Here is a 14,066-nt window from a genome sequence, read left to right as displayed (position 1 = left end):
CAAATGTATACAGTGCATTGTATTTTACAAATATTCAGTCATCACTCATAATTTTTTTTTTAACAGTCTGGATAGTCATTTCATTCTAATACTTTTGACAGTGAGAACAAGTAAATCCTCACATTTTAATTACGTGAGTTGAAACTTAGGATCAGATATTTTAGTTATACTAACTTTCTCCTCCATAGCAAGGATGTTTCTATTTCCTGTACTGAACAATGAAGGGTTTGGTTTGTTTGCCTCACTTAGAGTTATGAGGTCTTTTCCATTTTTCAAAAGAGTTTATTCTAAATTCTAGACAATTGATTCCAAACACACTTGAAAAAAGGACAAATGTACTGAGGATAATGGAAAAAAAAATTTAATCCAAGCAAAAATCTCTAGAGAAATTACCAAAGAAATGTAGCATACCCAAACAGGTGAGAATGAGAAAATAAATATTATAACTTCAATTAAAAATAGACTATTTAATGGACTGTAAAGAGAGGTGGGAATTAACTGGCTGATAGGTTTCAAACTGCTGAGTTAAACCTATAATACTTGTTTGCCTTGCTGTAATTTGGAGTCTACCATTGCCTAGAGGTCACCTTTGCAGAAGCAGAGAAAATCAATACATTTCACTGTGAGTTAAGTAGTGTCATTTAACTCTATTAAATAAGGTTTTCATAGTTAGGGGAAAAAAACGCAGAAAACAACCCAGACTAGCAGTGGCTTTTCTGGTTTGCAAGTAGACATTCCTTGTATAGTTCTTTGTAGTTGTCAAGTTCTTTCTGATAGTCTCTGATATTTTGTAGGAGTGAACCTAGCAGGGCTTCTGGTCAGGGTACTAATATTAGGCTGATATTTCCAGAGGCATAAATGGTCATTCAAAGTTTAGAACTAGAAAGCCCCAAAGGATTAAATAAAACCTCTGTCCTAGAAAATTCTGAGGATCAGAGTGAAGGGAAAATCTAATAGGACCATGAATGTAGCCCAAGGAATGATCCCAGTAGGAATAACAAAAATGATCAGAAGCCAGGGAGCTGCTGGACTAGAGTTAAAGATGATGATTAATGATCAATTATTAATAATATATCAATTACTTACTTGGATTCAGCTAAGTTCTTATAACAAGACAGCCATTGTGCAAAACATTGGAGGCAGAATAATGAACAAAGCAGAGACGTCACCTCTCCAAAAGTTTCCACTACCAGTTTAGTGAAATTCACATCATTTCCTGTGGAATTTTGATTACCATATAACCTGCTATTGAAATACTGAATTAAATGCAAATCTTAGCAAATGTTTTCATTATAGAAATTCCAATTTTACAGTGATATTATTTTGAGATTTGGAGTCTGACTGCTTCCTTTAAATCTAAAAATAAACCCATCCTCATCTTTCTACTCATTGAAAATTAATTTTAATGGAGTTCATTCTGGCAAAATGTATCTTATAGTCAGTAGATCTTAATTTATCCTGGTCACAACCATGGTCATTATCAATAGATTGACTTTTTGAATGACGTTGATATGTGGTGATAATCCACAACAGAATATCTTCACAAATTTTTAAAATTTAAACACGCATTTCATTTCAAATGTGATGGGGAAATGGACTAATTGATTCAAAGTAAAGTAATGTGGTCTCTGTGTTAGTTAAGTCATAGACTCTGGAACTAAACTTTATGCAGCCAATTCCTAACTTGTCTATTTAATAGGAGTGTAAACTTGGTTAATTTCTGAGACTTAGTTTGTGCAAATGAAAACTGGGAAAATTCATAGGGTCCTTGTAAAGATTAAATATAATAAGACAAATATACAGTACAGTGTTCAGAATAGGAGTTATCTCTATATGAATTTCTTACCAGAAAAACATTATTGATATTTACTGGTTACTTCCATAGTAAAAATGATACAATAAATTGTTAATTTTGGGCATCACAAATATCTGAGACCTATACCTACATTATTAAATATTATGGAAACCAATAGCCTTATGAAAGCATATTTTTTTTAAAAATTTTAGATGGCACAGTAAATAATAAATCAAAAGGAAACAGCAACATAAGTAAAAAATCATAATCAGTTACCCTTTTAATAAATTAAGATGAGCCTAAAAGGCAAAAACACAAAGACTCTACTTAACCACTTGAAACAGTCCTCATTTAGCTAGATGAATTGGAGAAAAAGAAAAAAAAAAAAAAAACATATCAAACACCTAGTTTGCCTCAGATCAAACAAATAAATCACCAAGTTCAGAACAAATCAAATTTCTAACCAATATGTCTAATATTCCTGTTTGTGTTTCTTTAAGTCACAGTCATCATAGTAAGAAGTACAAAACATACTTTCTCTTGAAAATGGTGGATGTAGGATCAGACTTTTACATGTGAATGTTTCAGGCTCTATGAAAAAGCTGCTTCAATGATTTAGCAATCTCAGTCTCAGGAAAACATGGTCAAATACATAAAGTGCCTTCATGAAAGCTGCAAATTACCTTTATAATGTTTAGCATTATTATTATCAGGCTAAAAACCAAAACTAGTTTTCTCATATTTGTTTTGAAAGATGTACTTAATTGCAAAATCAAAAATTGTCTAATTTCAAAATGTTAAGATAGTAAATATCCCTTTTAGTTTGCCTATTAAGATGTCTAAAGACATATGTCTGAAACAACAACATATAATTTATCTGTCTAACTAGATTTCAAATTATTTTTATAAGATAGAGACAGGGGATAGAGAAATTTATGTCATTTAAATGTGTACAGTGTTTTGTTTGTAGATAATTAATGAAGTCTTTTTAATATTTTTATTGTCAAACTAAAAGGGAACTATGTGTATATTTTGCCGTGTGATCAATTAATTGTGCTTTCATATTGTGCATACTTAATTCCAAATACAAAAATAAATTATTTGCAAAGGAGAAGCAAAATATGAAACTCAGTGCCATCAGATTATGACATTATAAAGATAATTAGCAATAAAAATATACCCACCCAAGGAAAAAAATTATGGGTGATAATTCATTGCTCAAGATTAGCTGGAAATCTCAGGACTATTTTCTTCCCATGGGTGACATGCACAGATCTCTGTTAGCATTGTTCAGCAACATTAGCCCCACAGGTAACACAGGTAATCCTCCTCCATGTGACATTCCACTTTTTTTACAGCAAAATTATTATGCATAGCTACGAAGGAATAGCACATTCTTTGGGAAGCTTAAATAATTAATATCAAATCCTTAAATTGTCAGATGCCAATCGCATCACTTTATATGGGTAATGGGAAAGCCAGAGAAGATATCATAACCTTTTTTGGTTTTAATTAAGTGTCTGGAAGCACAAAGTGTCTCACGTGGAAAACATTCTATAAATCTCAGCTTACCCTCATTGAATATGGACACAAAGCAAATAGAATCTCTGTTTATAATGTTGGGCTGGAAGGGATTGAAACCAACCCTTAAAAGAGTCCCAAGAGATTAAGAAACTAGTTTTCATCAGAGCCAGTGAAAGAAACCAGCTTTTAAAAGATGAGATGACCGAAAAATTTAATTAATTAAAATGACATAAGCAAAGTAAAAAGCCAAATAACACAGTGGGAGAAACTATTTGCCACTTATTTCATGAAGTATTCATATCCCAGATATACAAAGAGCACCTCAAGAATAGAGAAGAAAAATGCTAGCAGTGCTATAAAAACTTGGACAGTTCAAATAAAAAGAAGCACAAATGCCTCTCAACCATTTGAAAAGATGCTCAACGTTACTCATAGAAAGAGAAGTGCATATTAACACTTTGCTAGGATAGCTATTCTAACTATCAGATCAGCACAATTCCAGAAGTTTGACAACACAGTCTGGCAAAGCTGTGGGAAAGCAGACTTTTCCTACATTGCTGATGGTAATGCAAAATGCTAAAACTCTTGAGGAAGGAAATTTGGCAATACCTAGAAAAAATTACATATTCATTTACTATTTGATGAAACAATTACAGTTCTAGGAATCTATCCCAAAGATACAGTGGCAACATATTAAAAAGACATATAAACAAGGCTATCAGTTGCAGCAAATGTATAAATAGGATACTGGCACACAGTGTATTATGCACCTGTAGAAAGAAATGAGGAATATGGCTGTAAACAACAATGGAGTATTCTTTAGGGTACATTGTTAAGTAAAAAGAGAATCAAGATGGAGGGAATGTGTTACTATGCTACCACACTAATTCATATATTATCTTTCATCTCAAGAAAAGGCAATGGGACAATAAACTGCAAAATAAAAGGGCTGCTTTTAAGCAAAGGGAGGGAGAAGGATCGAGAAAACAAAGATAGAATCCAGACGTTTATGTATCTACCTTGTTTAGTAGACTTGAATTTTGAACTATACACATTTTTTATGTAACTATTTTCCAAAAATTAAAAAGCAACTCATAAGAAATAAAAGTGGCATGGAATAATGATCTTATTATGTATTCAGTTGTCAGCACAACCACCTAGAAAGTTGTTCCAAAGAACTATAAAATGCTAATTTTCCTGCACATCCTAGTAGGATATAATCTTCTCAATATAAAGAACTGCAAGTAAATAGATAAATAAGAGAATCAAACAAACTTTTCAGTAATCGGATTTTTAGTGCTACTGTTGGTATTGTTAAACATGATAGAGCATAAAGAAAATGAGTAACGTTGTTAATTGGAATTTTCGCCATGATTAAATAGCAATATGATATAAGATGAAGGAGATTAAGTAAAAGCCTGAATTTTATTTGAAAGTATTAGTATGAGCTCATTATGCATTTTACCTTAAAATTATAAAATACAGTATCTTGGTGCATTGAAAAGTCCCAGAAAGAAGAACCAACTTAAAATACCAGAATGCACTCATGGTATCTAAACTGATCGCTAATTACCATTTCCTAAGAAGAAATCAACACTTAAAGAAATCCTGACTGCCAATCTCGGGCAGGGCCTATAAAATATGAGCCTGGAACATCTTGTCATATTTGAAAGCAGGCAAGCTATCAAAGGCAGACTAGGTCTAGTCTAGACCTAACTGCCAATTTTCAAGAAATACTAGGTTGAACCACTTAAAATCGCCATTTTGTAAATTAGGGCCAGTTGAATATTAGTAATTTCATATGATTAGGGCTAATACAAGGGAAAGAGGATCACTAAATAATGCTAGAGAAATATCGGCAGTAAGTGTATGGCTTGTGGAAAAATCTACAAGACTACAGCTTAATTTCTGTAACAAAAATTTGTGAGAACAACAGATTCAGGGAAGCCTATAAATGAAGAGAATAAAAGATGTAGAAGACATCGAATAAAGTCTAATAATATATAGACCTTATTAGGTAATGATTCAAATGGCTAAATCTTTAAAAATCAGGAAATGTGAGTTTCAATTGGATACTGATTATATTAAGGAATTAATCTTATTTGTAAATGTGATGATGTTATGACAATTTTTTTCTTAATCTTATCTCTAGAAATTCATATTAAAATATTTATAAGAAGATATTTGCTTCAAAATATTACGGGTGGGGGATACTGGGGTAGATAAGATACACATGAAGCAAGATAGGTGTGGGCTTATTAGGATTATTAGACTCTATTCTCTACTTTTGTATATATTCAAAATTATTCCTTATAAATTACTATTATTAAAAGTAAAAACAAAGGCAAGCTTGAGGATTTTTTTCTTCTTACAGAGAGGAAATCCTTATAAGGCTTCTTAGATTTTGTTGAGGAGGAACTTTTGGGAATCAAGAAAGAAAATTACAATTTGTTGATTGCTTATTACAGTCCAGAAATTTGTGCTAGGAGATTTGCATGTGTTAGCTCAAATTATGTATGACAATTAGGTTTGAGTAAAAAACAAGGTGGCTGCTTTCAATTTAAAATATGCCTCAATGTATATCTATTCCCGGTATACAAGATACAGGAGCTTCCATGCACGTGGAAAACACTGGGAAGCAAGAATGCAGCATTAACTTTCACAGGATCCAGAAGGTAGGCTGGGGTAGAAGGAGCACAAAATAAACCAAAACATTCCAGGTGGTGAGTATGAGGATTATGGGAAGGATTAGCTTTTCTACTTCTCATTCAGCTGTTGAATAGCCAGATTATTCTGACTATGCATATGATTGACAAGTTGCTAAGCAGATAATATTTACCCTCTTTCTTTCTCTCTGTCTATCCACACACGCACTCCCTGCTTAAAAATTTTAAACACTATAATAAATAAATAACCTTAATCTATTCTCCAAATGATATTCACGGGTAACATTTTTTCTTTTGCAAGTCTCGTTGAGAAATAATGATATGATTAGGGAGTATTGTGGCTCTGTGAGAATTTTGCTAGTTACTTATTTTTATCATTATAGATATCTCATCTGTATAATGGGAAAAATTTTTTTTTACTGTATTGTGATTGTGAGAATTAATGTCTATAATGCATGCAAGACTCCTGGCATACTAAAGTAGCATGTCTCAGATAACCTAGCAGAGTGTTTGTAATTAACAGAATTAATAGACTTCATATCAAAGCGTGGCTCTGTCATTTAGGAGCTGGGAGCTCTTAAGCAAGTTACTTTTACTCTCTGAGCCTCAGTTTCTCCGCCTAAAAATGGATCTCACAAACCTGTCTGAAAGGCTAATATGGAATAAATGAAGTGCTTATTCCGATGTCTGGCAAATAATGCTCAATGCTGGTGAGTCGTCCTTTATAGGCTTTTGATAATAATTTACTAATATTATTGTTATTATATTTTATACGGAATTTTATGTTCTGCTCTTTTTCAATTAATATCAGAGCAGTAACATTTACCATGCTATTAAGAATACTTCATAAACGTCCCCATTAATGGAAGAAGTACTATGTTGACAGGTGCGTATGGATGCTGGAAGATCATTTTCTCCTGGAGAGACATCTCCCATGCATTTTTATGAGCCAGATTTCCTGAGTAGTAGGTGGTGACCAGTTAATCATTTTGTCAAACTATTTTTTAAGGCTTCAAGTTGTCCAGCCATAGCCAAATGCCTATATTAATTTTGTGCCACTTAATTTTACTAAATGCAGTCTATCCTTCCTGTGTGTGGATGTGTACATGGAAAAGCTTTTGTCTCCTTGAACATTATTGTCCATCAAGAAAGGAGTTTCATTTTTGGCTATTTTTTTTTACAACAAGGGAAGATAAGCTCCTGAGTGACAGTTAAATTTGTTGACAGTATTAAATTGCTAATGCTAATGCATTTTACAATCTTTGGAATGGATTTAATATATTTGACTGCCACTCAAAGTTGTAATAAACAATACCACACTCTTAGTTGGAACTCATTCTGTCAGATCTGGAGGCTTTCAAAAATGCCTACCTATGTTGAGAGTTTACAAACACATTTTTATTTCTCTGTGGGCTGCCCCACAAACCAATGACATAAATACTTCAATTTGCATTTCTTGTCATAGGGTTTGGAACTCGCGTGGAGCCGTAATAAACACCTGGCAGGATATCTCCAAGGCTGGGAAATCATTCCCCACTTAAGGAGGTAAGGATGCTATTTCACATAAGGGAAACACATGTAAAACTTATTATCGCCTAACTTCATGTACTTGTCATAACTTCATGTGTATTTCCCAGGTTTGAATAGAGACAATAGGCACTCGCAGGCAATAAAATGACAACAAAAGCAAGAAAGCCTGTCTGCTGAATAACTGAAGAAGCCTAAGACTGAGATATGATTGAGTTAAGAAAAAAAATGTGTATATATATTTCTTTTTTCCTTTGAGTGTCTTCTTAGCTGTCAAGAGAGTGTTTGGGCCATCTTAGTTCAATAATAATAGTAATAATAATACCCTAATAACATTGTATTTAAAAATTCAAAAAGTATTTTATGTATGCTCTCATTTGATTTTCACCATGAACCTGGAAAGTAGGGAGGAAAAGTAGAAAATCCATAGGGAAAAAAAATGATACATCCAAACTTACACAGCATACTATATAATACACTGTCCAATATTATAGAAGACAGTCCAATATATGGGATCAAGATGAACTCAGATACTTTGCTTTACAGTTCTAATAGTTCATTATACTACAGTAACTTTCTGGGAATAAAAATGTAATTTCCTTATAATAATTTGGATGGAAACCTTTATAAAAAATAGGTAAGATGGAGATTTGCTTGGAGTAATGTAAATCTAAATCGACTTTAGTAAGCAAAATAACTACAGTTTGGGCATCCCTAATCTGAAAAGTCTGAAATTCCAAATGATCTAAAATCCAAAACTTTTTGAGTGCTGTCATGACACCACAGTGGAAAATTTTATACCTGAACTCATGTGAAGTTTCTGGATCAAATTGCAAGTGCAATTATTCAGCGTCCCCAAGGGATAAAAGGCCCTCCTAGCCCAGTTCAGCTGTGATATATCTTTTCCATGCACAGCATGATGGTGATGCCACACAATCACAGATTGGCCAAATGGATGGTTGAGGTAGTGACACCTTTGCCTCCTGATGATTTAATGCAGGGGTTCCCAACCCTCGGGCCCAGGACCAGTGCCAGTTCGCGGCCTGTTAGGAGCCCGGCGGCACACCAGGAGGTGAGCAGCAGGGAGAGCAAGGATTATCACCTGAGCTCCACCTCATGTCAGATCAGCGGAGGCATTAGATTCTCATAGGTGCCCGGACCCTATCGTGAACTGCACAGGTGAGGGATCTAGGTTGCGTGCTCCTTCTGAGGCTCTTAACTAATGCCTGATGATCTGAGGTGGAACAGTTTCATCCTGAAACCATCCCCACCCTTCACCGGCCATAGAAAAATTTGCCACCGGTCCCTGTGCCAAAAAGGTTGGAGACTGCTGGTTTAATGTACATAAACTTTGTTTCATGCACAAAATTATTTAAAATATTGTAAAAATTACCTTCAGCCTGTGTCTATAAGGTGTATGTAAAACATAAATGAAATTTGTGTTTAGACATGGATCCCATCCCCAAGATATCTCATTATGTTATGTGCAAATGTTCCAAAATTTTGAAAAAAAAATGAAATCTGAAACACTTCTGGTCTCAAGCATTTCCAATAAGGGATATTCAACCTATAGTTCCCAAAAAATTACAACAATAGTGGGGTTGGAGACAGTAAAGAAAATAAGACAAAGGTTCTGTCACCAGAGAACTTACTTTCTGAGAGAAGAAACAGAAATAGCTATCAATATCTGGCATTATATTGTGCAAGTATTATGAAGAAAAAGACACGAATCTGGGGATAAAGACTGATGAAACATGTCATGTTAAATAGGAGGAGAAAAACATTGAGCAGAAATAAGAATAGTATGAAAGAGTCAATGAATATTGAGGAACAAAACATTCTAAGAGGTAGCTACAGAGGTGACTGATAAGATGGAATCTTATTGTACCACTTATTTATTGAATATTTTTCCAGAAAAAGAAGCAAGCAAATAGCAAAGAAGAATCAAAATAAAACACTGGAGATTATAGATTTATTTTGAAATGCTAGCGACTGTCCTGAATACAACGTATTTTCTACTTAACTTACTATTCCGTTTTATTTGATCTGTAACTCATGAAAATGCTAAAACTTCTGGAAAGGTGATCTTTGATGCTGGGGAGGGTCACCAGGAAACGCCAGCTGCCAGCCTTCCATGGCCCTCACTGGGATTGCATTCATTACCACAGCACAGGACCCACTTCGTTCCTGTAGTCTCAACAATGCTTTTGTCAACTCAAAGAAAACAGTTCTGTGTACGTGCATGCCTTAATGGGAAATGGAGTGGCTGTTCATAGTCTTCAAATTCATATAACCAATGAATAAAATCAAAAGGACAATTTATTTATGCACAATGAAAAGTTTAATTGTCCGTTGAAGTGGAATGTCCTTAAACTCAAATATTACAATTCCTTTCTACAAAGTTCTTGACACTTAGTATGAGCTTAATTAAATTCTGATAGAGCCGGATGTTTCCTTGTGGGAGGATAGACTGTGTGATTAGGCACATGATAATCAGAAGGATGAATTGTGAACATGACTCAGAGCAAAGAGAGTTCTCCTTTGGAAAACTTGATAGATTGATGCTTCTATTTATACAATATCCTTGACAATTGCAATGTAGCTTTCTGACCATTGCAAATGCTTGTAGAACAAGAGTTCATTCTCCCTGCATCCTCGCTGGAACTTAACTAGATAGAACTGGACAATACAAACTAGCTTTTGTACTCACTCTCCTCCAGAACTTCCATTGCTGACCAAAGTGCCTTGGAGTATCCATACTCTTTCCTCAGATATGTTAATACATTCTGTGCAGACTCGGGTCCACCAGTGATGCAGCCTTTTAAAGGGGACCTAGCATATTTCTGCTTTAATGAATTCTGTGCTGTATAAGGCCCCCTCTTTCAGAGGACTCTGTTCTCTTCTCGTCAACCTAACAGAAAGTAGCGGAAACAAAAATAATACAGAATTTATTTGAGCCAAGGTAGAGGATTGTAGCCCAGGATTAGGCCCAAGTTGCCTAATGCTCTGGAGAACAAGAGAGAGGCTCACTTTTTTTTGTTTGTTTTTGTTTTGTTTTGTTTGTTTGTTTGTTTTTGAGATGGAGTCTCGCTCTGTCGTCCAGGCTGGAGTGCAGTGGTGCAATCTCGGCTCACTGCAACCTCTGCCTCCTGAGTTCAAGCGATTCTCCTGCCTCAGCCTCCCGAGTAGCTGGGACTACAGGCGCTTGCCACCAGGCCCGGCTAATTGAGGCTCACGTTTTTAAAGGATGAATCAGGAGAAGAGGGAAATTACAAAAGTTGTTTGTCAGGAATTCTCATTGGTTTACAGGAATACCATTGGTTGGTAATTACACATACATTGTTGGCCTATAGGGTGTATGTCATTTTATGGCTACTTGGAGTCAGTCTAGAGCCCCTATTGCAAATTGTCCACCTTTGTTGAAGTATTATTTTTTTTTAAATTCCATTATAGGAAGAAAGGTTAGAAAAAGTGAAAATTCTCAGAATACCAAAGAGGTTTAAGATACTGTACTCGGCAAAAAAATTAAAAAATTAAAATACCAGGCACAGTTGGTAGCTCCCCTTTGCCAGGAGAGGCAACAGTTTTGTCCTGCCAAACCCATGGTTGGATTCACCCCAAAAGCAGCAGCAGCGGATTTCCCACAAGGGAGTGCCCCAAACCATCCTGGGAAGGCACCAGTTGTGATTCCAAAGAAAGAAGCAATCAACGCCTGGAGGATCCAGCCAAAGCATTTATTAGGAGAACTTCCTTAGAGAGGTGCTGCAGCAATCCTCGCAATGGAAGAGAAAATGGGTGTTCTCCCTAGGTATGTCTCCAGAGAGGGGATCAGGATATGGAGTCTTTCTGAGGGTTTAAGGAACTTGTCTCAAGGCCAGGGCCAGTTTCTTTCGGTGTTTTGGGCAACAACCTAGATTGTTTTATTAGTGCCTAGGAATATTCAAGACCTAGTTTGGGTTCAATCCCGCTGGGGAAAACCTGCAGCTGACTGACTGACAGTTGTCAAAGCACTTGGTCATTTTCAGTCAGGACACAGGAAAACAACAACAACAACAACGGGGGAACAGGGAGATCTTACAACTTCAAATTTCTTAATATTTATTGAGCGAAAACTTATTGAATAACCTTTATTCAACATGCATGCTCTTCGGGTGCAAAGACGATGAAAACATAATCTTCTGTGATCTAATGCTGGCATACCTGTTCCACCTCGTCTGCCACCATTCCCCTAAAACCTTCAGCCATACTGAGCAATTACTGTGCAGACTCACCCAGCTGTTCAAAGCCTCAGATCTTTTGTAAACGTTTTCCTCTATGTGGAATGTCCTTCTTGCCACTTCTGCCTGGCAGACACCTTCTCTTCTTTCAAACCTCAAGAACTTCTGACTTACCCAACATTAATTACTTCTATTGTCTTAGCTCTGGTTATACTGTTATAATATCCATTACCCTATAGCATAATTATTTATGCATTTTTCTGACTCATCTTAGTTTCTAAATGACTGGAGGTCAAAGACAATATCGTCCTCTTTCTGACTCCTCAGCGTCTTATTCAGTGCCTAACATTCCATACGTGCTGAGCAAATGTTGGTGGAAAGAATTAACGAATATGTTATAACAAAATTAAATGCTGTAAAAGTTTATAAAAGAAAAGAATCACAGTAAGATGGGACTAGTGTTGTGCTGGCAAATATTTAATAGCTGGCTCCCCAGGAAATCGAAAGACCACCATTTGTAACATTGGCTGGTTTTCATTATGTAAATCTCTCGCTATGTCTCATTTCAACATCATGTCACTGAACATGGAGGTGGGAGGCAGTAACACATTATTGTACAATAATTCCACCATTCTCATACAATATACATAAGTAAAACCCAGAGCATAGATTACAGCAATGTAGTAAAATAATCAGGAAATAATGATTTTTATTATGTATTAATTTGGTTTCTAATATAAGTTAATTAACTGTAAATTCATATATAATTATTTTTAAAACAATGGCCATGTTTAACAATTGGTTTGCAAAATTCCTGAAAATTTAAAAAACTGGCTCTCTTGAATGCTGATATCAACTGGCTTCAGCCCACCATTAAATGGGACATTTTGAGGTGAGATAGGTAAAGTTGTAAGAAGATCTTACAGAAAAGGTAGCAGTTAATCTGTTCATTATGAAGCAATTATTTCAATAAGACGATTTGGATGGAGAATATATGATCCATGAGGACACTGATTTTTGTCGGTTTAATTCCATATTTTATCCCTGGTGCTAAGATGAGTGCTGGATGTGTACTTAGTGCTCATTAAATATTTGTTAAATGGATAACTTTTTAATAAAAACCACATTTCATAGGCCTTTTGAATGCAATGCTAAGTCAACTTTAAAAAGCCTCCATTGGTGAGGACTGGAGAAAAGGGCAATTAATTGAATCTCATTCACACAATTTTTACCCCCTGCTTGTATTTAAAAATGAAGAAGAATGGTGAGTGTCTTGCCCAACCAGAGACCTCAGTCATCTGAAAGTGTTGGTGAAGCAAACAGCATGGCAGTTGTTAGGCCAACAGGTCAGTTTGGGGTTCTTACTAGAGTGGGATCTCACCAATGACTTTGCACATCCTTTGAAGCTAATGCAATCAAAGCTCCTTTTGGAGCTTCCAGCAGGACCCTGAAACTGCATGGGGGTAAGTTTGAAAGGGCAGGGGGTAGAGAAGACTGTCCCATGCTCCAATTACAGCAGTAGAAATAGTCTATAATTTTATCCTAGGGACATTGACTTGTGCTGCACAGAGGCATCCTTTATAGGGCTTAAGCTTTAGGTTTTGTGGAAATGCTCCTGAATCTACTCTTTGCAGTAAATGCTCCCATGCCCTGAAAACACACAGAGAGCAAAAGGAATATTACTGAACCTAAGGATTAGCTCTGTGGGTGAAGGGCAAGAAGAGGGTCAAAAAGCATCAATTTAGAGCTGTATCCCTGTGTGTCCAGTACTCACCCTACCTGAATGAGATCAGAAAGCCATTCAGTGACAGCCACCCTTTTGAATAATTTAGTCCTGGGAAGGAGAGGACATTGCAAGATAGTTAAGAAGTGTGTTTTGCAGAAAGACTATCTATGCTGTGAATTACTTAATAGTAACAGTGCCTGTTTCCATGCCTGGAAAATGGGGATGCTAATACCCAGCTCATATTGTCTTGGGAGGACAAAATGTTATAATGTATGAAGGGGTAGAACACAATGCCTGTAATATAGAAAGTATTTAGTAAGTGGTATTTATGGCTGTGTATTTTTATCATTACATTACTATTATTTGTTCTGCATTAACAACAAGAAAAAGTTTGAACCGTAACATAAAGACTGTTTAAGGAATAGTCCTGAAATATAAGGTGAAATTCCAGGCCTGAAGCACATAGGTATGCCATGATGAACCACATTCCTTTGATTGAATTTTAATCGCTCTTATCAATAAGAGTTTTATATTCTGTGACAAAGTTGAAATTTCCATATATTTCCATATATTGACCTATGCCAGTTGCGGTAAGTGGGTTTATGGAGGGA

The sequence above is a fragment of the Homo sapiens genome, chromosome 16 (assembly GCF_000001405.40).
Source record: "Homo sapiens chromosome 16, GRCh38.p14 Primary Assembly".
Lineage (NCBI taxonomy): Eukaryota > Metazoa > Chordata > Mammalia > Primates > Hominidae > Homo > Homo sapiens.
The sequence above is the reverse complement of the archived record's forward strand: the minus strand, read 5'-3'. Positions refer to the sequence as shown.